This window comes from Homo sapiens, chromosome 1 (genome assembly GCF_000001405.40).
Source record: "Homo sapiens chromosome 1, GRCh38.p14 Primary Assembly".
Classification (NCBI taxonomy): Eukaryota; Metazoa; Chordata; class Mammalia; order Primates; family Hominidae; genus Homo; species Homo sapiens.
In genome coordinates, this window is record NC_000001.11 from 44,222,323 (window position 1) to 44,246,128 (window position 23,806).

The 23,806-nt window shown below is 50.4% G+C and overlaps 1 protein-coding gene and 1 long non-coding RNA gene across 18 annotated transcripts in view, besides 3 other annotated features; both read right to left on the minus strand.

Moving 5' to 3' along the window:
• Positions 1 to 23,806, minus strand: part of ERI3 (ERI1 exoribonuclease family member 3) — a 134,210-nt gene that overhangs the window by 1,253 nt on the left and 109,151 nt on the right. The gene's annotated exons all lie outside the window — the stretch shown is intronic.
• ERI3-IT1 (ERI3 intronic transcript 1) lies at positions 273 to 21,961 on the minus strand. Of its 2 annotated transcripts, NR_110056.1 has the most exons (4): positions 21,923 to 21,961; positions 19,593 to 19,758; positions 3,444 to 3,681; positions 273 to 327 (listed from the first exon to the last, which is right to left on the minus strand). It is a non-coding gene; the product is annotated as an ERI3 intronic transcript 1 (long non-coding RNA). The 2 variants fall into 2 exon arrangements; NR_046817.1 differs by lacking the exons at positions 273 to 327; positions 3,444 to 3,681; positions 19,593 to 19,758 and adding an exon at positions 21,054 to 21,675.
• Positions 15,711 to 16,354: an enhancer, noted in NCBI's record as "H3K27ac-H3K4me1 hESC enhancer chr1:44703705-44704348 (GRCh37/hg19 assembly coordinates)". NCBI's record gives its function as "activates a minimal SCP1, AML or CMV promoter by ChIP-STARR-seq in naive H9 embryonic stem cells {active_cell/tissue: H9 hESC(naive)}" and the evidence as "EXISTENCE:reporter gene assay evidence [ECO:0000049][PMID:30033119]".
• Positions 17,765 to 18,393: an enhancer, noted in NCBI's record as "H3K27ac-H3K4me1 hESC enhancer chr1:44705759-44706387 (GRCh37/hg19 assembly coordinates)". NCBI's record gives its function as "activates a minimal SCP1, AML or CMV promoter by ChIP-STARR-seq in naive H9 embryonic stem cells {active_cell/tissue: H9 hESC(naive)}" and the evidence as "EXISTENCE:reporter gene assay evidence [ECO:0000049][PMID:30033119]".
• Positions 18,394 to 19,022: an enhancer, noted in NCBI's record as "H3K4me1 hESC enhancer chr1:44706388-44707016 (GRCh37/hg19 assembly coordinates)". NCBI's record gives its function as "activates a minimal SCP1, AML or CMV promoter by ChIP-STARR-seq in naive H9 embryonic stem cells {active_cell/tissue: H9 hESC(naive)}" and the evidence as "EXISTENCE:reporter gene assay evidence [ECO:0000049][PMID:30033119]".

Here is a 23,806-nt window from a genome sequence, read left to right on the forward strand (position 1 = left end):
CCTTGGCCATCAGCCGTCTACCAAACCCTCCTGTATACATCGGCGGAAGCCCTGCTTCTGTCCCAGTAGGCTCAAAGTGGGTGCTAGTCACCTTTTTGGGCCCTGTTTCTGCCCATACCTCATGTGGAATGTGTCTGCATGTATCAGACTCTATCACAAACAGTTTCTCCAGTATTGGATGCTTTCAACTGTCCTAGAACCCTGGAGGCTGGAGGATCAGGCCTCTGGGGCCTCAGCGTCATGGACATGGGCCAGGATTTGTTTCACCACCACCACCACCAGCAGCAGGAGGTGCACCTGCCCAGAGCTTATTCCACTAGCAGAAGCCTAGGAGAGAAACAGCCTGAGTGCCTGAGTTTTTCTGTTCAGCTGCCCACAGCAGCCACCAAACTCATTATCCCCTCACCTGCCTCTTCTCCCACCTCCCTTAGATGCTCCTGGGCCATAACCAGGGCCTCAGCCACCACCAACCTTCATAGGATCGATGCTGTGATTGTAGAAATATTGTACATCAATGTCATAATCAAGTGTGGGGGGGTATTAAGGTCAAGGTGGGGTCAGGAAGCCTCTGCATGTCAAGGCCCACTTTTGCCAGGACCTTAGTCTAGGAAGGGGGACCCTCCAGCACTAGAAAAGGGCAGTAGGAGGGCACAGTCTCTGATCAGCCCAGGCCCTGTATCACTAGCCAGATCCTAGCTCTGCAGAGCCTGCTTTGGGCAGGCAAGTCAGACAGGGTCCTGTGTCGCAGAGATCAGCATGGACGCACCTGCAGTGGATGTGGGCACAGAGAGGTGACACCTTCCCCCAGGGACTCAGGAAGCCATACGGGCTGGTCTGAGGCAGAACAGTGGAAAGACAGATGGGTGGGTAGTGGCGACCATGGCAACTCCAGACGTGACCCATCCCCATGGTTTATGGGCCGGACACGCACCCCGCTCAGCTGAGGCCCCATCATTTGTCTCTCTTAGTGTGTGTGCCTATGCTTTGGGGGTAGTGGGTGGAGGAGGGAGGGGCTGTGCTAGGCAGTTGACAGGAAGGGGAATGGGACCGGAAGGGGCCTAAGAGGGGGAAGGGTTAGGATGGGGTCCATGGGCTGTGGTAGTGCCAACAGAGAGACTATGATAGGGTGATTTTCTTCCCAAATAAGTCTGGCCCTATCAGGGAACCTCCAATCCTTCCTGTCTCCGGTACCCTAGGGACCGTGGCCGCTGTGCATATTAAGAATAAGTCCCCTCGTTATCTGCAATTACCCAGCGGCCACACACCTCATTTCTTCCAGCAGAAAAGAAAATTAGTTTTCTATTGACTTCATCTGGCTCCTCCCTCATTGCTGGACAAATCGTTCAATTTGCTTCCCCTGGCCCAAGTGAATGTCCCAGCCCCAACCCCCAGGCCACCAGCCATCCAGTGGGCAAGCACTGTTCTCCCACCTGTGCCTGGCCCTGTGCTGGGAGAGGGTCCCCACGTCCCAGTCTCTGTCCTTGACCTCTCCCCACTCTACACACTGGATGGCTTCATCTAAATCGTGAGTTTCAGCTACCCGCTAAAGATCACCTCTCCAGCCTGGACAGCTCATAGGCTCTACACCACATATTCCTGAACATCTCTTTCTAGATAAACCCTAAACGTCCAATCACGAGCTAATTTTCTCTCCAAGCTGCTGCTTACCCCTCACCCTGCTATGTTCTCCATCCCAGTGAATGGCACCATAATCCACCCAAAATGCCCAAAGAAATCTGAGTCATGTTGCCACTTTGCCCTCTCCCTCACTCTCCAAATCTAATCAAGTATGAACTTACGCAGATTTTCTCTTCTTCTCTGCCTAATCATCTTGGATTACAACAGCTGTCCTCTTTCTCCCTCAAATTCATTCTCTTACAGCCAAACTGATCTTTCTTACATAAATCTGATCATGTTCTTCTTCCTTAAAGCCCTTCAGTGGCTCTCCTTGCCCTCAGTTTAAAGTCTACACCAGTAATATGTCTTAAAGGCTCCGCAAAAATTGATCCCTGCTATTTCTGGTCTCTGCCATGCTCAACCCTCAATCCCTGGACTCCAATCTCAAGGACCCACTCACTGTTTTCTGAAAATGACAAAGTGGGTTTTGGAGCCAGAAAGACATGTTTCCAATCTTAATTTCACCCACTGGCTGCATACCACACAGCAAGGGCTTAGCGTCTCTAATACTTAGGTTCCTCCACTAGGGTGATAATGGCCTTGCTGTTATTGTGAGGACCAAACAAGGTGTTGCACCCACATCTTTGCACATGCTGTTCTTTATGCTTGGAATGCCTCCTCTTTCTGAAGAAAAGGCAAGGAAGCTAGTTTTCTGGAGGACCTAGTGGTGAGAAAGTGTATACAATTGATAGCACAGATGACTGATAGGGGCCAGCAGACTTAGTGAAACCAATTGGCATTCACTCCAAATTCTGACTTCAGATCCTGTTTACTGGGTATTTCTGGGGTCTAACTTGTTGCAACTGGCCCACTACAATAAAGAGAGACCAGGGAAAGGAAGAAATTTGCTCCAGTTCACCTAACAAGTCAGTGGAATGGCAGTCATGGGCTTCTAGCTCCAGGCTCTTTTTCCAGCCCTTGAAGCCTTGACAAATATATATATATTTTGTTTTTTAAAGTCTATGGCCCTGCTAGAAAGTGAGGAAGCTTGGCAGAAGAAGCACTAGAGACAGATCTGGGGCTTTTAATAGGCCAAAAATTCAGAGAGAGAGAGCAGCAGGGTGTCTGGTGGCAACACAGTCTCTTGGAAAGTTTTCTGCTTGAAGCTCTGGGGGCCACCTGGGTTAGCAGGCTTGCCTTCCAGCACCTCTCATTGAGCTAAGGAGGCCAGCATGAAGCTGCTGTAGGGTGGGAGTGAGGTGGCAGGGAGCACAGCCTTGCACCCACAATAGAGGCCTCCAAGAGGCCTCTACCTCACCTTCAAATTCTAGAAGGCTAACCTTTGGTTTTGTTTCATTTTGTCTTGCTCTGTTGCCCAGGCTGGAGTGCAGTGGCGTGACCTCAGCTCACTGCAACCTCTGCCTCCAATTCTTGTACCTCGGCCTCCCAAAGGGCTGGGATTACAGGCATGAGCCACCATACCTGGTCAGGCTAACCTGTTTTTATGTTTCTGCAGGATCATCAATTTGTGACAAGATGACCCTCTCCTCTTCTTTTTTGGGGCATTAATATTCTCAGTGTTGGAAATATTTTTATATTGCCAAGACCATAATGTGAGGAGTGCAGCTGCATAAATCCCTGAGAGAAGATTAGTGGGGCTAGCACCTTACAAGGAAAGACAAGCTTGTTGGCTGGGCCCAAGGACAGTCAAATGTCTGCCTGACAATCTCCACACAGAAGGGTTGCTCAGATCACTTAGGACACCCAGAAAGAGCTCACAAAGGGCAAACAACCTAAGGCTGATATTCTCCATTAGCGGTACTTACCTGGGAACTGAGTGGCAGTGGACAGGAAGCAGGGCCTGGGCTAGGGAGACCCTCAGGAGGAAGGGGACCCAAGAAGTTAGAAGTCCATTCATTCATATACTCATTCATTCAGCAAACATGCGCTGACACCTTCTGTATGCTCAGTGATCTTGTACCATATGGCTTCTGAGGGATGTGCAAGACTCTGTAGCTCCCTGCCTTCAAGGAACTCAAAGACAGCCCTGTCAGGTGTGCAGTGCTATGAGAAAAGGACGCATGGAAAAGTTATCTAGTTCTGTTTGAGGATTAAATATTCCAAAGTTAAGCAGAGGTCTTAGGGGATGGGGGAGGGAGCTAGCCCACCTTGTTAGGGCTGGGGTGAGGAAGGTGTTCAATAAATAGTACAGGCACATTTATGGAGGTGAAATGTGGAGTGTCCAAATAAGTTTATCAGATGGGTGGGGGGATGAAGAATCAGAAGGGAGTGGCAACGAGATGAAGCTGGTGGTCAGTGACTGACTAAAGGGAATCCTGAAGAACCTAAATGCTAAACTAAGGAGCTTAAGATGTTAATATTCTGAGAATGATGGACATTGACATGTTTAAGGAGGGGAATGACAGTACCAGATCTTGTTTCAGAATTATGATCCTAGATGTGAGGACAGGATTGGAAGGATTAACCCTGAAGGCAGACAGATCAATTAGCAGATTGTACTATGGTCCAGACCAGAAATAATGGCCCAGAACAGGCCAGTGGCAGTGGAAATGGAGGAGAAGATCTATTGATGATGTGGGGGAAGTGGATGGAGGTAAGAGAATTTTTAGGAAATAGAACGAGCAGTCCTTAATGGGGGGATTAGGACAGCACAGGGGGAGCATCTAGGATCTCAGTGCCACTCACTGAGATAAGGCATACCAGGGAAGGTGCAAATTTGGATGAGTTAAGTCATATTCCTATGGGACATCTAAATTTGTCAGGCATTTCTTTATGGTTTCTAGGCTAATGTCTTGCTTCTCTATCTCAGCATTATTAAACACACACACACACACACACACACACACACACACACAAACTATCCTATGTTTTCTTCTAATACTTTCAGTTTTTTTAATATATTAACTTTTTAATCTGTCTGGAATTTATTTTTGTGTGTGGTAAGAAATAAAAACTCTAACTTTTTTCCCCCTAATAGCCAATTGTCCTACCACCATTGATTGAACTGTCAACACTTTCCCCACCCTTTTGAAACGACAGCTCTATCACATATACAATTCCCATACATGTGTCTGTTGGAGGCAGGAGTGAATGTATGTGAAATGATCAAAGAAGCCAATCAAACTGGGGGAACAGGAGGGACAGTAGGGTGGCAAGCTGCTGATCTTATGGGACTAAGAGGGAGTGTGGCCTAAAGGAACATGCAGACACATCCTGAGGTCTGCTGGAGTCTCCACAGGCCTCCTGCCTGCAGAATGCTTAGCTTGGTAACACACTTTATTACTGATCTTCAGGACATGGTGAGGAATGGGGCAAGAGTCCATGGAACAGGGACCAGAAGAGGTAGGGTAGGGTAGTTGGGAGGTAGGTGTGGAGAACAGTGCAAGGAGAAGGAACCATGCATGGTAAGGGTGACACAGCAGGATCCTTGGGTGTGTCCACGTTCTAGAACCTCAACTGTTGCCACATCTGTCTGTCCAGACATCCTGGCAGCAGTAATGCCCTGAGAGCAAAGTGCCAGTGCCTAGGCCTGCTTGACACAGGACTGCCAGATTAAATGCAGCCCCACCAGCTCCATACAGGACATACTTATACTATATTTTTTATACTAAAAATTATTTATCTGAAATTCAGATTTAACTAGTGTCCTGTATTATTTGTAACCCTGTATTATCTGGCAACTCTGTGATGGGGACCCAACAGCTGGGTGCAGTTTAAGGTTTAGCATCAAATGTTAGCTTAGAAGGAAGATGAGGGCCAAGGCAGTGAGTTTAGGACTGACACAGCAGATGGCCCCAGTATATCCTGCTTCTGGGTTTGAATCCAAACTCCACCACTTAATAACCATGTGAACTTGAGCAAGTTCCTGAATTTTATTTAACTTATCTTTGTTTTGGTTTCTTCTTCTCTAAAATGGGAATAATAATAATTATAGCAATAACTTCCCTCAAAGTGTTGTTAAAAAGATGAGTTATTTGTGAAGTGCTTAAAACAGTAGCTCGGTTAGTTATTATTTTTGTTATTCCAATAACATCTAAAAATAATGTTATTCCAACAATAAATTCCTGATATCCCCACCCCCCAGTTCCTTGTCTCAGACATGGCCTACACAGTCCCCTGCGCCCCCATTCACGGCCACCTTGGCCCACCCGACCCACTTCCTAGACACACACTCCCTTCTCCCCACAGCCATGGCTCCCATAGCTTCCTACCCCTCCCCCAGACAGGATCCTTACAGCCTCCACTCCAAAGTGACCCCTTCTTTCAGCCCCTCCCCTCAGCCCCCTCCACCCCACCGAGGTGCCTGGAGGTGCCACAGGCTGATGGTGAAGGATGACGATGGTTCCACAATAAGGGGAAAAGGCAATTTCATCTTGATTAGCAGGCGATTTCTCTCACCGTAATAAGCGCGCTCCAAATAATTAGCGTGTTTTACGTAATAATGAAATTACAGAAATGCAGTCCACTTATTCAAACAACTCACCATTACCATATTTTTAAATATTAGACTTAATTAGAGTTTATCACTTCAGAGAAGTATGCGGACCGAAGATGTTTTTAAAAAAATCCTCATAAAGTGTTTATTAAGCGCTGGTAAAGCTGGGATAATGATGTGTTTGGAAATTAAGGCAATCAAACACTTACCGCCGCTCCTGGAGGCCAGGCATGGAAATGAGGCCATTACACACCCATTACCCGCCAGCTCACAGCCACTTGGGGGCAGTGGGGTGGAGGGGGGGATGTGCCTGGCCGGGAGGGCACAGTGCCTGGAAACCCCTTTGCCAGCATCCCAGAACTGCCTGACCAGTAAGCATAGCATCAAACCCCTTATGTCGCTTGCAGTGCATTTGGCCACCAGGAACTCAACTCAGATTTGGCGAGGCAAAGGACATGATTGGTCCCAAATGCCAAAGATGATACCCAAGACAAACCCTTATCCAGACTCCCAGGCCTGGCAGGACATGTCAACGTCATTCAAACCCCAATACAGAATGAGGACAGAAACCACGTTGGGCAGCCAGGGAGGTCCACAAGAGGAGGTGGAGGGTGAATCCCACCTGCTGGCTCCAGCCACTGCAGAGGAAGCTACAGGCCTAGACCAGGTGACCACTCCCAAGTCTTGGCCACACAGGAGAAGGTAGCTGGAGTGGTGGGAGAAGCTGAGGAATTGTGCTGCGAGCCAAAGAGGCAGAAGAGTCAGGGGCCAGGCTCAAGAACAGACATGGGGCCAGAACCTGGATCAGGGAAAGCAGGCAAGAACGGTGGCAGGGAGAGTGGCTGGTGGCTCCAGGCCCCATTTATCCCAGTGAATAACTAATTCTAGAATTTATAGTGCTGGGTTTTTGTTCTGTGGCCATTTTTATCTGCAAGGGAAGGAAATGAAGAGGCAGCACGGACACCACATCTTTCTGTGTTATTGCTTGTCTGCCATTTGCAAATCATTATTAATTGTGGGCCCTGGTGGCAGGCTGGGTGGGGGCCAGGCTGGGTACATCCACATAGCTCTTCATCAAGGACCCCAGCCGCTGCCCCAGAGAGCCAATTACCCCGCCCTGATTGGGATCAGATAAAGAGGGAATTTTTACAAATTAGGGAATAAATAGAATTTCCACACAGGGTGCGGGCAGGACCTGAGAGGCTATAATGAAAAACCATCCGTCACCATCAGTGCGGCCTGGGCATGCAGCCCCGGCACTCCCTCCCTTGTGGGCCCGCCCTAATGCTCAGGGGCCTGGGCGTACAGGTCTGAGGACACCCCAAACCCTTCCAAGGCCTGGAAGCGGGAGCGGAGTTCTCAGGGGGTGCATACACCTTTGGGCTGAAGATGCTTGGGCCCTAGCTCTGGCCTGGCCCTAATGCTGCCTCTTCCTTTTCCTACCTCTCCCTTCCTCAGGCTCTTGGGAAGGAGGAGACTGAGGCAGTCCTGAGAAAGACCAGAGTTGGGGACCACAGGACAAAGACCACATCCATGTCCCCACAGCCATGGCAACCCTAGGGCAGAGCCCCAGCCCCATGGACCACTCACGCGACTCCCATTAGCACTCCTCCCCTTGAATCATTAAATATGTATATCTTATTACACGCCTTGTTAGAGTATCGAGCTCTATTGACTGATGATAAATCCTGAGCCTCGTCCTGGCCATAAATTTATCTGGAGATGATGAAGACTCAATAATCTAGTCAGGCAGATAATATCATCGGGCCTTAAAAAAGATCATTACATTATATGTCAGAATTAAAAGTGAAATACGCCGTAGTAACAGGGCGGCTGCTCTGGCCATTACAGAGGATGCCCGCCTCCCCCAGATCAATCCCAGCCAAGGCCCCATCCAGGTAGAGGAGCCAGGAAGCCTCACCTTTCTCCTGGTCTGGGATGCCACAACTAGAAGTGCCAGGTTATAGCCAGATCACCTACAGCCAAGTGAAGGGAACCCAGCCAGGGAGGGGTTGGCTACTGAGAACAGCTGAGCAGATCTGCCATACCTGGCAGCCTCATCAGTCTTCTGGGTCCTGTAGTGGATTCAATAGGAAGGTGTCAGGGCCTTACCCTCTTCCAGAATGGCCTGAACTACCAGGACAGATTCTTTGCAAAATGAGGACACTGAGATACAGAGAGGTTATGCCACTTGCCTGTGCTGCCCCGGGCAGCCGCAAAGTTCCAGGACCTGTGACCCGGCCCCAGACCCACGTGCCAGCAGACTATCTGGAGACTTTCTTGTGAGCACATGCTATCAATCCAGACCATGGCCACCTCCCTCCCGAGAGACCTGCCTGCCACAACCTCTATATCCTGACCTTTTGAGAAATCTTGTTGCCAGCCTCTTCCTTCTTTGACTTTAGTACTAATGGCCTTCTCCATTGTATCTAATTTCCACCCATTTTCACAGTAACACAGTCAACCTTTTAAATATCCTACTACTCTTCCTTTGAAATATTAAATCCAAATATCCCTTGTTTCTGACAATAACAATAACAAGGTTATTATCCAAAGTGCTTGGAGACCAGGAGTGTTTTGAATTTTGAATTTTTTTCAGATTGTGCAATATTTGCATATACATGAGATATCTTGGGGATGGGGTCCCAAGTCTAAACACAGAATTCATTTATTTATGTTTCTTATACACTTTATGCACATACCCTGAAGGTAATTTTATATAATCGTTTATATAATTTTGTGCATAAAACAAAGTTTTGACGGCGACCCATCACATGAGGTCAGGTGTGGAATTTTCCACTTGTGGTATCATGCTGGCAGTCAAAAAGTTTCGAATTTTGGAGCATTCTGCATTGGGATTTTCAGATTATGGATGCCTAACCTGTCTGTATACTTTTTTTTTCACTCACTGAAACCTTAAAATTTATACCCTTACTCTCTCCATATATATTGTCTCTCCTGTATTCACATTTTTCCTTGCCCACTTCTTTTTCTTTGAGTTAGAGCCCTACTCTGTCACCCAGGCAGGAGTGCAGTGGTTTGCTCATAGCTCACCACAGTCTCGACCTCTTGGGGTCAAGCAATCCTCCTGCATCAGCCTCCCGAGCAGCTGGGACTACAGGTATGCCACCATGCCTGGCTTTTTTTTGTGTGTGTACATATGGGGTCTTGCTATGTTACCAAGGCTGGTTCCTCCTACCCCAGCCTCCCAAAGTGCTGGGATTATAGACATGAGCCATTGGTCCCGGCCCTTGTTCACTTCTGATGATGTACCCAACAGCCACCTGCTTCTGCTCTGCTGGCAGAGCCCACTACCCCTTCAAGTAATCAGAATTAATCCTCTGTGGTCTGAGTCATTTTTGGTGATCCTTTCTCCCTTGCCAGTCATTGGCACAGGGATGGGCATGTGTTCTGGCTACTGAGACATGAGGGTAAGTTTGCTGAAAGGCCTTCAAGGAAAATTTCTTATCTCTTATGAAGACAAGCATGAGGGAAAAATAGTCCTTTATATTCTGCTGGATGTTTTCGTAACTGCACATAATGTCTGGGACTGCAGAAGCCATCTTCCAACCTTGAGGGGAGTTAGCCTATGAAGACCATGCTGAAGATGAAAGAAAAATGGAAACATATCTGGGTCCCTGATAACACTGCTGATATGCTGAATTAACCGACCTTAGGATCGCCTTACCGCCAAATTTCTTTTGTGAGATAATAAATCCCCTTATTTAAGATATTTAAAATTGGGGTTTATTTTTCTTGCAGCTGAAAGTATACTAACTGATACAGAATGTAAAGGCAGGAAGGAGAATGACATAAGGAATGGACCTTACAACATAGAACTCACTGAATAAAGGAGGCAGGCCGAAGGACAAAGAGGACGCTGCTATTTCAGGCTGGGAAGTTGGTAACCGTTTTTTTCTTTTGCTCTCTTGAAACATTTGATCAAATTGTTTCTTGCTGTATCTCAGGACACAGGCTATGTTAGGAAAAAGGCTAAAAGAATCAAGTTTAGACTAAAACCCCAGTGAAAACAGAGAGGGAAGAAATATAGCTTTACTAAGAAAGGCATTCTATGAGTATGGCTTGCAATATAAGTTGACTAAACACCCCTCAGTTCCACAAAATCATCAGACTATTCAGACTTCTTCTTTCTTTCTGCCCTGCCATTCTCGGCATGTGGTTTCCAATCCTCAGACTATTTCATAGTCCAAAATAGCTGCTGGAGCTCCAACCATCAAATCCACATTCCAGGAAAAAGAAAGGGGGAAGACGGGAAAAGGCAAGAATAGCGTATTTCCCAGATGAGCTGTTTCCCTTTAGGTATCATTCCTGCAAGTCCCAGACAACACATTTCCTTTTGTTTCACCGGCCAGAGCTCAGAGACATGGCTGTACCTAGCTGTCTGGAAAACTAAAAACGTAGTCTTTTAACTAGGTACACACTGATTATTATACAGCGGTTCTATAATTATACAGGGGTTCTATTTAGTGAAAAAGAAGGGAAAAGTCATAGTTTCTGTCCTAGCAACGTAACTGACATGTCTGCCTTTGGAGCCTGGATTGCATGGTCCATCATTTCAGTCTTTTTCTTGCCAATCCTCAACTCTCTTATTCCCTTTTCCTTGTCACCCTTGCCTGGAAAAACCCAGACTCTGCCTTCTCTGTGCCTGCCACCTGGAGCGTATGACTAGAGAAAATCACAACCATATAGACTAGTGCCACTTACAAAATCAGAGTCATCAGCCTCAGCTGGGTATATAAAACTGCCCAGCCAATCTCCAGTGTTCCTGATCAGTGTGCACTCTCTCTCCCTTCACCCATAGTGACAATTTCAAGTTTCTCTACTTTCCACAAATCTCAAATCCCCTGCCCTCAACATCACCCCAAACCCCTCACCCATGCAAACAATCTTATCTCCTACTCCACAGGAGCCACACAGAAGCCACTCTCCTGAGTTTGCCCCAGTCCTCTCCTCCTGTCACAAGAGAGGGCCAAGCCTGATGTCACGTTCTTTTTTTTTTTTTTTTGAGATGGAGTCTCACTCTGTCGTCCAGGCTGGAGTGCAATGGTACGGTCTCGGCTCACTGCAACCTCTGCCTCCCGGGTTCAAGCGATTCTCCTGCCTTAGCCTCCAGAGTAGCTGGGACTACAGGCTCTTGCCACCACGCCCAGCTAATTGCCTGATGTCACTTTCTAAGCCCATCCCTCCACTCCAGCTGGGTAGGGTCCAACCCAGAATCCAGGCCTTTTCAGGGTCCACACATTATTGAGTACTCCTATTTCCACTGATACAGCTTCACTTTTTTCTTCTGCATTGGTTCCTTCACATAAGCATGTAAATATATTAATTCTCTCCCATCTTGGGAGTAAACAAGTCTCCCTTTAACTCCCTTTTCCATTGGCTAGTACCCAATCTCTCCTCCCTTTTAGAGGCAAACTTCAGAGTTGTTTACACTCAAGATCTTATTTCCTCATCTCCCACCTTGCGATCTGATCACTGCTCTACCAACACTGCTTTCTCTAATGATCCCTATGACTCATGAGGATGAAGCTTTTCAGGTTTTGATTGATAGACAATTGGTGAACAATCCACTCCTTGAAGCTCTCTTCCCTAGGCTTCAGTGACCCACTCTCACTTTTCATGCAATTCTCCTTGGTTCCTTTGAACACTCCCTTTCTTTTGATCACCTCTTAGATATGGATGTTGCTCAGAACTGTCATTGGTCTCTTCCCTTCTCACTCTCTCTCCGTGGGCAAACTTATCCCCTCCTGGAGCTTTAATTACCATATATTTTCCAATAATTTCTAGGAGCTTTAATTACCATATATTTTTCAATAATTTCTAAGCCCATGTTCCCATTACCAACATCCTGGTCCAGGCCACCATCATCTCCCATCTAGGTAACGGCAGTGCCCCTGCCAATCTTTCTTCCATGGTGTCCTTTTAAACCACCAATCTGGTCATTTCACTCCCTGTCTTAAAACCCGGGCTGGGCGTGGTGGCTCACGCTATAATCCCAGCACTTTGGGAGGCTGAGGTGGGCAAATCACGAGGTCAGGATTTCGAGACCAGCCTGGCCAACATGGCGAAACCCCATCTCTACTAAAAATACAAAAAATTAGCTGGGCGTGGTGGCACCTGTAATCCCAGCTACTCGGGAGGCTGAGGCAGAACAATCACTTGAAAACAGGAGGCGGAGGTTGCAGTGAGCCGAGATCACATCACTGCACTCTAGCCGGGGCAACAGAATGAGACTCTGTCTCAAAAAACAGCAACAGCAACAATAACAACAACAAACCCTTCAATGAACCTGGAGCAGAAAAAGAACATTAATGGAAACACTGGTGAAATTAAAATAAGGCTTTTGAGACAGGGTTTCTTTCTGTTGCCCAGGCTGGAGTGCAGTGGCGTGATCTCAGCTCACTGCATCTCCGCCTCCCAGGTTCAGCCGATTCCCGTGCCTCAGCCTCCCAAGTAGCTGGGATTACACGCGTGTGCCACCATACCCGGCCTAAGAGGCCCTTTAATGTAGCACAGTACCAATGTTAATTTTCTGGTACTGATAACTGTATTGTGATTATGTAAGATGTTAACATGAGGGAAAGCTGGGTAAGGGATACATAGAAACTTTCCTACAAATGTAAAATTAATTCAAAGTAAAAAGTTTAAGAGTCAAAAATTAAAACCACCACCACCAGCACCACTTCCAGTGGCTCCTCACTGCTCTCAGGACTGCTCAGCTAATCCCCATTAAGTTCAATATTGCCACCTTGCCTGACTCAGCTCCCAATGCATCCAAACCCCTTTATAAAAGTCTGAGTTCTGGACCTGTTTACATCTCTGGTCTCATCAGTCCCACTCCCCTGTTGTACAGCCAAATTCAGGCTCATTTGCACCTTGAGTTTTCAAGTCCTCACTTCTCACCTGGCTCATTGCCTTCACCTCTCAGGACCCAGGCTTGCTAGTGCTTCCTCTAGGTGCCTTCCCCCCATCCCGCCTTTGTGTTAGGAACCTCTTCTGTGTGCTCCCACAGCAGCCAATTCTCCGCCTATCGTAACTGCCTCTCCTTCACCTCCTGCTAGACCATGAACTCTTTGAGGGCACAGGTGTTATCCACAGAGACACTCAAGAAATACATACTGAAAAGAAGGAAGGAAGGACTAGAGGAAAAGAAAGAGGGGCAAGATCACACGCAAACCTACTCCAGCCCTGACATTTGCCACCCAAAGCCTTGACATGCCCAGGCCCTGAAACCCTGTCATGGTCTTTGTCTCCAGCTTCCAAAGCCCTGAAGGTTTCAGGCCCTTCCCCACCTCCGTTCCCTTCTAGCATCTTGGTTTCCCCAGGACTTCACTGTGCCAGGAGACTGGCTAGGACCTGAGCTCTCATCTGTCTGGCCAGCCTGTCCTGCAAACCCAGGCAGTCAAGGGTGGCAGTGGTGGTGCTGGGGCGCCCCAGTCCTAGCCAGTGATGCCCTGGAGAAAGGCCTAGCTATGCCTAGGGACTCTGGGAAGGGGGGATGCCCTCCCTAAGCCGTGTCCCACCTGGTAAATATTTCATCCTCAAGCTGCTCAGCTAATCCCTATTAATTTCAATACCGCCGCCTTGCCTGGCTCAGCTCCCAATGCATTATTTATCCCCTTTGTTTGTTTGTCGCTAACAGGTGGGCCCCAGTGGAGGCACTGACTGGGGACAAGCCCACTCTATCACAGTGTGGCTGTGAATTAATCATGAGGACTAATGGGAACCACCTCAGCTCCAGGCACTTCCCTAGCTGCCTCCCCCTGCCCTGGCACCCAGGGGTGGGCCAGGGCCATCTCAACTCAATTTAACTCAATTCAAACAGCACATTTTATTTACTATCTGCCTATACGTGTCAGACACTGTGCTATGCTTTGGGGATATAAGCCAAATGAAACAGACATTTCTTGCCTTCAGGGAACTTACAATCTAGTGAGGGAGACAGGCATTAAACAACTTTCAAACAAATAATTTCTTAATTACAACTGTGATTAAATGCTACAAATGGGGAGAGCAGGGTGCTGAGAAAAAGTACACGGGGAAAGGGGGACTTGATCAAGTCTAGGAGTCAGGGAAAGCATTCCTGAGGAAGCAAACTTTAAGCTGAGCTCTGAGGGATGAGGAAGAGTTAATTAGGTTGTGGGGTGGAAATATGGGGCTCTGGGGGAAAATAAAGCCACATGGGAAGGCAATAAGGTAAAAGAAGGTGTGGCAGGTTCCAAGAGATGAGGGAAGGGCGTGGAGTGTGGGGAGCAGGAGGAGAGTGGCTTAAGGGGGGCAGGAGAGGGCAGCAGAGGACAGAGGCTGTGAGTCTGTGCCCAAGTAGACAGGGACTCCCCCTAAGCTGACAAGGCTCAGAGTGGGGACACTCTTCCGCCAAAATGATCAAGCTGTCCTGATGGGTCACCATGGAGCCCTCCTGAACACAGGATTTTCACTCACCACCTCCAAAACATGCACTCCCACTACCTCTGCCAACTTGAGCAACTGGTGATTTCTTGATCTTGTGCTTGTGGCCTTCTAAGGCTGTCCCTCGTGCTAGGCCCACCTCCTCCAGGGACTCCAGGAGTCCTACTTGCTCTTCTTGCCCACCCTTGAGGTAGTCAAGGGCATTAACCCTCAAATGGGCTGGTCAGGGGACTCAGGGGAGCGCCTGGCCCGGGGACTTGTGAGAAGACCTGCGTGAGCTTCTCAGCATCCTGAAGGCTTAGGTGCTTCCATGGAAGAACAGGGCTGGATCTGGCACCTCAACCCTATGGTAGAACCAGGAACACGGCTGGCAACATTGACGTGCCTCAGCCAAAAGTGCTCACTTCACCTCCCACAAAGGAGCATCTCTCACCTCTGAAGCCCTGGTATTGGCCTGGGCACCCAGAAGACCTCAGCAAACATTTTCTGAATGAATGACTAAACACAGGGAAGGCTCCATCATCTCCCACAATGATCTCTTTCCCAGACACTTCACTCAGAAACTTTTCTAGAAATTTAAATAGATGAAGGAGCAAATATGGGCCAAAGATTTTACAGTTCTTGCTTCCAGTGAGCCTGACAGTTAGAGGCCAGCATCAACCCCATTTTCAAGAGGAAGAAACATCCCATAGTGAATGACTTACCTAGTACCACTCAACCTTGAAGGCATGAGCCTTAAACTGAATGAGGTCAGCCCAGCTCCAGGCTCCAGCATATCAAGATATGCTCCCTCTGTGGGCATTTCCCCAGGCACCCTAGCTCTCTAGAACAATCCTAAAAGGCACCTGGTTTATGAACTAGGTGCAGCTCTGCCAGGGCAGAGGCCTCACTGTGCACATGCTCAGGGTTTGTATTTCTATTCAAAGTGGCCACTTTGAAAATCCATACGTCTCCAGGCTCCCTGTACATCATGGTGTCAAGTCTTGGAGCAGAGGCATCCATCAGGGGCTCCCGAAGGCCACGGTCTGCATGCCCACGTGCCTGATCCCACCCACGTGCCTGGCCTTGGCTCCCGGCGGCCGGCAGCACTACCTTGTCCTGTGCACAGGCTCACTGTAGCCCTAGCCCGTCTGCTTGGCCCTCTTACCCTGGCCTTAGACTCCTCTGGGTGCCCTGCCTCACCCCTGCCCCAGAATACCTCCTCGGCCCTACGCGGCCTCTGCTCTTCTCTCTTGGAGCCAGGCAGCCAGCACGGAGGCAGCCTCGATAACTCGCTAACGTGCTGCCCATGCTGTTCTTAAAAATTTATGACTGTGCACCATGAAAAATCCAGCTGAGGAGCCATCATTAGCGGTGCTGCCTCCCTCCCCCACCAGAGCCACCCTCGTAAATTGAGATTTATGGCTGCGGCAGGCGGGGCGGGGGCGTGTGCAGGCAATGAGGATGTTGTGGGGGAGACAGGGAGAGACCAATGAGGCAGCCGCGGGGCCAGGGGCTCCCCCCTGCGGCAGCTCCGGTTTATCGCAGGCTGCAGTGATAATCCCTGCGGAGAGTAAGGGCCGGCCTGGGTGTCAGCGCAGGGCTAGATCCCGCCTAGCAGTGGGACGGGACAGGTCGGGGAGGGGCCTAAACCAATCACCGGCTCCTTTCGGTGTATAGGGCCAGATCTTGAGGTGCCAGGTTCCAAGCAAAGGCCTTTAGGGAAGAAGCATCATCGTTGCGGAGATCACAAGGCCTGGCCACCGGAGTCAGCTTCTCCCACCAGAAGCATCTGGGTTGGGCTGACTGTCCTATCCCAACCCAAGAGTGACGGGGAGGCAGGAAGGATGCCTGAGAGCCTCCTCTCCCCTTCCTCTGGTAAGATGGGCCCATGGAAGGGATATTCACAGCGAGAGTATAGGACTGAACCCCATCACATAGCCTCCCCCCACAGAGGCCAGACTGGGGCTGAAAGGAAAAGGAAGTGATCCCACAGCCTGCATCTACCCTGCAGGAGGAGGGGAGGAAGAGTCCCCTCCTCCTCCTCCCCTGCTCACTTAGCCCTGTCAGCCAGGCCATTATGAAATTGGGGTTTCATTTACAGACTAATTAAACATTACAGCTTGTTCACAATTACAACGCGGGGATGAGGGAGTAACTAATTACGGAAGAAATGAGCTAACATTTATCTCTGCTCCCACCCTCCCTCTCCCCACTGCTGCCCCCTCCCCCCCCCAATCCAGCTTCCTCCCACTCCCTGGTCACTACCAACTCTCTAGGCTTATTTCCTAGGGTGGGAGACTGGAAGGGGCCTGGTAACCCCCAGCCCTGGACATAAGATCTAACTGCTATTCTTAGCTATTCTGGGAGAGGGGCTTAAGAACTCAGGGCCCTGTGGCAGGGGACAGTAGGTGCTTATGTGCAAGACCCTGTGGGTATGGCCTGTGATGGTATGTGTGGCTATGATATCTGGTGTGGGGGTCTGCTTTGGGGTGTGTGACACTGCTGTGGGGCTGCAAGACTCTGCATTATCTCCATCTTGTGGCAAAAGGTCTTGATGTGACTGCTGCAGATCACTGTGTGATGGGATATGAGTGTGAATGAATCACACCCTCAACCCTCAGCCCCAGGCCAGGATAGAAAAGAACTAAGCGGCTGCAGGAGGTGATGGTTAATGCAGGCCTGGGATATGGCCCCTAGAGCCCAGAGTCCAGAGCCCAAATTCCTGCTGGGAGGCCCCATTCACTCTCCTGCCTCAGAAGCAAGAGGGGCAGGGTTACCCTGCCCTGGGGCTCAGCTGGCCTGGCCTTGGCCTCTTGCCAGATGTTCCCTCTGGGGCCCAAGGAACCTCCTGGGGGCCTGGGGTGCCCCCTGTGGGCAGGAATCCTGGGGTCTGGCTGGCCTGCCACAGCGTTTAATAATAGTAACAGTGAGTGTAAGCGTTTCCATCCTTCCTGTCTTTGGGCAGAAGAAAGGAAAGAGGAGGGAGAGGAGGGAGAGGAGGGAGTGGAGGGAGCCGGCTGAAGGGAGGCTTTGAGGCCTCAGAACTCACATCAAACGGCAGGATCTGGGCCTAATTGTCTGACCCCTGCCCCTGCCTTCAATCAGCTCTGCGGCTCCCCGCCCGCCCCTTGCCTAACTAGCAGCCATGTTCTCCTCATTAGGACAAGCTCCCCTTGCACACGTGTCCCTGGACATGTCTCCAGCACTCCCAGCTCCCAGCCCTGCCTGGTGGGAGGGTACAGCAGGGACCCAGTTTTGGAGGGGCCTCTGGGACAGCTATACCCTCAGCCACCACAGCAGGCTGGCTTGGGCTACACCAGCCCCTCCTTGAGCTACATGGGCCTAGAGGCCGTGTGCTGGGACACACTTCTGCGCTGGCTCAGCTGCTGGGTACATTCTGTCCTCTGTGTGTCCTTCTTGCTACAGCCCAACTGTCTCAGACACACAGCTCCTGAGAGCAGGGCCTATTTGATTCCAGTCCCCTTTGGCCTGGTTCAGCCTGGCTTGGGCTGGTTTAGCCTAGTAGGAGGTTTGAGTCAGGGTCTGTGTTCACAGGCTAGTAGCTGAATGAACTTCTCTGCCTACGGTACAAGGATGGCTCTCTTAAATGGATCCAGGCGTGGTGACATGTCGCGTGTCTGCAGCTGGTGGAATGGAAGGAAAGCAGTACTCGTGGTGGTGAAGAACTCCAACCCTAGACTAGGAGAGATATGTTCAAATTCCTGCTCTCTCACTTCCTTGCTGAGCAGCAATCGGTCATGACAACCTTCTGGACCCTCAGTTTCCTCACATCCAGTAGAGATGACAGCCCTTATCACGGGGTTTGAGAATTCAATGAGAGAACAGATATAAAGCCCTCTGTACTAATACCTGGCCCTCAGCAAATGTAGAATGACACTGGTGTGATTCAGACCAGACCAAACAAATTCCCCTCTCTGCAGGCCACAGGCCCCACTTTGCCCAGTGGGGCCTAGGCCTGGTCAGTAGTGTCCAGGATGGGAGGAGCTAAGAGGAAGGGTCCAGAACCCTGCAGAAGGGTAGGGGCAGCCCCAGGGGGCACAGCTAATACTGAGGACAGAGCACCTATGCTGGAGCCAAAGCATAGGGAGGGATGTCCCACAGTAGCTGCAGGTGGAAGGGCAGGGCCCAGCTTAAGGAATGTCAGTTGGCATTAGGTCAGATGGGGTAGGTCAGCAGGGCTGGCCCATGAAGTGTGGATTGTCCCATGAGTACTGTGGGCCTGAAAGGAGGGGCTGCTGTGAATGCCACTGGAGTGAAGGCTGTCTGTGCCACTCTAGGGATTGATTCTCAGGGTACCAGGAACTGGGGGAGGGGCTGGCCTGGTCTGGGCCCTGACATTGTCTCTCACCTTAAACCAGTGGTAATGACTTGCAAATATTGATGAAAACACAAACTACAGATATTGTGTTTTCAGGGAGTGAAGGTGGGGAGAGGGGATAAGGAGGAAAATAAACTGAAATGAAGTCCGGTTATCTCCCATCTGTGGCTGCTCCTAATCCCCCAGCCCACAGGAATCCAATGCAGTCCCTTATCTGCCCTGTCAATCACTCAATCACCGCCCAGTGCTTGGTGGGCACCGCACGCCCTCACACACACTCAAACACATGCTCACACATGCACACACATGCACACACTTCACTGACTCTTGCTCTAACACTCCCACCCACCCCCAGCCCATTACTCCTCTGAGTAGGAGCAGCCAGCACGCGGGTCCTGCCAGATGGATGCAATTTGCATAATATCAGCAGTGGAGGCTGCAAGATCACCAGGGGTCAGGGCGCTGACATCCCCGCAGAGTCTATCTGCAAGTGCTAATTTGGCCGGCATTGATCTGTCTTTCTGATTTCTTTGTCATTTAAGTCTGCGATGGTTTGACAGGAGATACAGAGAGAGACAAGGGGAGGCGAGGCCGGGGCCTGGGGCTAGGAAGGTGGGGAAACAAAGATTGTACTTCCTAAAGAATCAAACACACATAACACATACATACATACATACATACATACATACATACATACATACATACAGGAGAACCTTCTTCCATCCATCTGTCCATCAACTCACCCACCCATCTAGTCCATCAACTCACCCATCCATCTAGCCATTCTTCCATCTATGGTTGCTACTGAAGAACAGTCTGGTGTCTGGCAAGAACCAATTCCTCAGATGTCTCTGGGGCTCCAAGGGGGTCAGCTCAGGAAGGAAGGAGCCAGCACCCTCTCCCCAGGCACTATCCAGGCAGGCCAGTGCAGACCCTGTCAATGATGGGAGAGTTAACCCTTCTCATGACCATCCATCTCCCTAGCTTCTCACTTTCTTAGGGCCACACCAGAAAGAACTGGATGGGAGGGGGCAGTAGTGTACAGTAGTACTGTGCTCTGCCCTTCCCCACAAGGCAGCTGGGCTGACTCCTCCCCTCCCAGCCCTGAAGGTGGCCAAAGCTGGGGGAAGCAGGCAAGGTACCTCTCTGGAAGGACATCAAGGTCTGTAGAGGCCTCACATCAATGCATCACCACTCAGGTCATCTGAAGCCCAGAAGACTTCATGAATCTCACTGATTCTGAGGCTCTCTAGTTGAGCCAGAAAGTCCCACATCCTATCAGATCTAAATGCTACCTCCTAAACCCTCAGCCAAGGTCCTCACATTCTTCCTTGCCTTGAGTGGGGGTCCCCCACAGGAATGGGGACACTGCCAGGCTAGATGTCATGGAGAAAGGGGATGGGAGGAGAAGACTGCAGCTCTGGGAAGCAAGAACCCTCTGCAGAGAGGTGGACACGGTCACTCTGTCAAGGGATGCAGAGGGGCTTGAGGCTTCCCAGAGGTGCAAGGCCCCCTCCCCCAGGCCACAGTGGCTCTATCTTGGTACCACCCCCTTTCCTTGCCTATGGTAGCAGGAATAGGGTGATCAGAAGGAACTCCCTGCTGGGCAAGACGGGGGCTGGCGTTTGGTGTGTGCTAATCCTGGGCCCGAGGTCTTCAGAGGGACCCGGGAAACTTCAAGGAGGGAAGGCAAAGCTGTACTGCAGACGAGCTCATTAGCCAGCACCCCCCGCACCCCCCTCAACGAGGAGGAGGGCGGGCAGCCCAGTGAGCGTGGCGGCAGAGGCGGCAGAGAAAAGGCTGTCACTGTCCTTTCTTCCTTTTGGTACAAGCGTCTCCCTGAGCCGACGATTCTCCCGCAGTGACACCTCTCATGGGCACTAATGAGATCTGTGTCACAGAGCTAATGCGTTCTGACTGGACTCTTGATAGACACCCCACTCCTTCAGGGGAGACCACAGGCCAGCCCACTGCCCCCCTGGGGCCCAGGCCCCCACCCTGCCACCTGCCAGCCCAGCTCTCTTGCCAAACAGTTCTGGGTAGCAAGCTCTTGAGAGTCCACTTGGTTTCTGGCCATGCCACCTGTACCACAAGCCTCAGTGGGATCCTTCTCCATCCCAGAGCAGAGGGGACAAGCTCCTAGGCAGGACCACCCAGCCGGGCATCAGGGAAGGTTCCAGTTACTCTCCTAGCCAGCTGAAACCAGCAGTAGTCTGTGAGGCCTCCAAGTTACAATAGCAGGTGAGATTTTACTGACATTTCCTGTGCAGATTTCCAAAAAAGAAGGGAAGGAGGTCCAGGCCCTGCCCTTAGAGAACCCAAGTGCGTAGGGCCAGATCATTACCTCTGACAAATTATAATAGGGCCCAAGTGTGTGTTTTGAACACTCATACTGGGAGGGCCAGGCGAGACTCCCAGAGGAGGTGGCCCCTGGAAGATTAGCAGAACTTTCCTGGGCCATGAGGTAGAGAACTGAAATCACAAAGAACCGTCAGGGCCAGAAGGAGGTCAGATGCCAACAATTGCAGGTCCCTGGCTCAGGGTGACTGTAGCAGCAGAGAGGGAGTGGTGATGCTGCCTTTGCTTTCTTCCTCAGCTGCTGCTACCGAAGGTCTGTTCAGGCCTGCGTGTTTCACTTGACGCTGAGGGAAATGAGGGAAGCGAGCTTGTTTTCTTCCACATCGTCTCTATTGGTAGCGCAAAGCCCAACACCAAAAGGGTGCTTCATAGTTCCACAGTGATAACAACACAGGCTCTGCACTCAGATGGGCTTGGGTTTGAATCCTGGCTCCTCAACCAACTGGCTATGTGACCTTAGGCAGTTCACTTCACTGAGACTCAGTTTCTTCATCTATAAAATGGGAATGATGATGCCTGCCTTCATTAAGACTGTTGTGAAAACTAAATTAGTTAACATAAAGTGCTTCCAAATAATATGAGTGCTTACTGCCCCTTTGCTGAAATGAATGAAGGACCACTCAGCAGTCCCCTGTGGAGGCTGCCCTCCCTCAGAGCCTGTGGTCCAAACTAAGGATGCTGACAGAGACCATCGGCAGCCCTGGAGTCAGCAGTTCTAGATGCATGCAGGCCCTACTCACCACAACCTGCTCTGGCACCATGCTGTTCACCAGTCTCCCAAGGCCAAATCCGCTACCCCAGGAGGAAGTGCCCTCCCCTGACTATGATGTCACGCTGACAAGCCTCCAGCAGCCTTTCTGTCCAGTGCTGCATCACCTCCAGACCCTCCTTGGCCATCCCTAAACCTGACTTCACCCTCAGTCCCCAGGGCCAAGCCCACAACTCCATTTGTGAGCTCTGTGGTGACAGAGCACTGTGTCTGCCATTGTTACCAATACATTTCTAGCACCTACCATGGTTCCTGATATATGGTAGGTCCAAGGTAGTGTGTACTGAATGAAAGAAAGTTTTACCTGGTGTCCTACCTCTATTTCCAGGGCCGATGCACTCTTGCTTACCTTGCTGCCCCTCCCCTTCAGCCTCCTTGTCTGCAGTCTCTCCTCACTAGTCCTTCCCCTACAAACTATGAGCATCCTCTGACTGAAGCCAACACTGACCATGTAACTCCCCTGCCCAAAACACTCCTACAGCTTTCCCACGCACAACCATCCTAGTAGCCCCCTCCCCTACAGCCTGAGCCCCTTCCCCACACCCGTCACCCCAAGTCTGCCTCCGTGTTCTCTCAGCACCTCCACACCACCCATGCCACACCCCTGTGGCACTGCAGGAGGACTGAGCAGACCCTGGACATGGCTCAGCTGTGGGATCTGCAGCACCCTTGCCTGGAAGCCACCCAATGCTGCCTTACCCCCCCAGCCAATACACATACCACTCCCCACTCCAGGCTGGCAGCTCCTCACACAGTTAATTAGCACCATGTCACTAAGGACCAGCCTGAGTGGCCAGTGACAGGAGCTGACCTCTGACCCCCAGGGCTGGGAAGCAGTCCACGTCAAACTCTTACAGCGCGACCCTTTTAGCACGCACAGTAACTCGGGGCATCGCCAGCTGAAGCTCATTAAAGCTGTCTCTTTGGTGCGAGGGCCATTAACCTCACTGCTCAAAACCCACGCCTCCCCTTCCCCGCCTCTCCCAGCCCAATTAATGCCCTGCATCCTCCCTCCCTTCCAAGCACCCTCACCCACACCTCAGAGCCAGCCTGGAGGTGGCAGGGCAGCCCTCTTCATTCAAAGACTACAAAGACCAAGTGTCAAGAAGCCCAGTGTCCTGGGGAGCCGCTGGTGCTGGCAACAGAGTAGGGAGCCCCTTCAGCCCCATGGTGTGCTCAGCACTGCATGAACACTTTCCCCAGGGGACTCACTGAGCCTTCCCAATAACCCAGAGAAGCAGGTGGCATTGTCCTTCATCTAAGGTCACAGGGTTCTGGGTGGAAGAACCAGAACTACTTCTGGCTCCAAAGCCCTTACTCCATTGTCACTCAGAGCCTTGGGCTGCCCCATAGGGCCCAGCCAGATAAAGAAACCTTCTCTGAAAAAGGAAGGGACACCTCACAGGTCCTAACCTAGGGTCAACAGGTGAACAGATAACAGGGGCATTGCTGAGTCTCAAGAAGCACAAAGAGTGGGAACGAGGAACCCCTTCTCACACACACACCCTGGGATAGATGATAGAAGGGGCACCCAGATAAAGTATATGTGGGGTGCATTAACCCAGGCTGTCCCTAGCCCCCAGCCAGTTCTTCCTTCCCTGGACCAATGCAAGTCTTCTCACTGGTCCTCTTTGGTTCCTCCCTTTCCCATCACTCTTTCATTGATTCATTTACTCACCTACTCATTCATTCAACCACCCATATGCATTTATTGAGCACCTACTAAGAACTAGTTTTGTGCAACACAAACTGCCTCATTGATTCTGAATCAGGGCTTTGATCACGTCATTCTCTCACTCACAAACCTCCTATGTCTCCTCAAAACTGCAGGAAAAGTCCACACCCTTTAACCAGG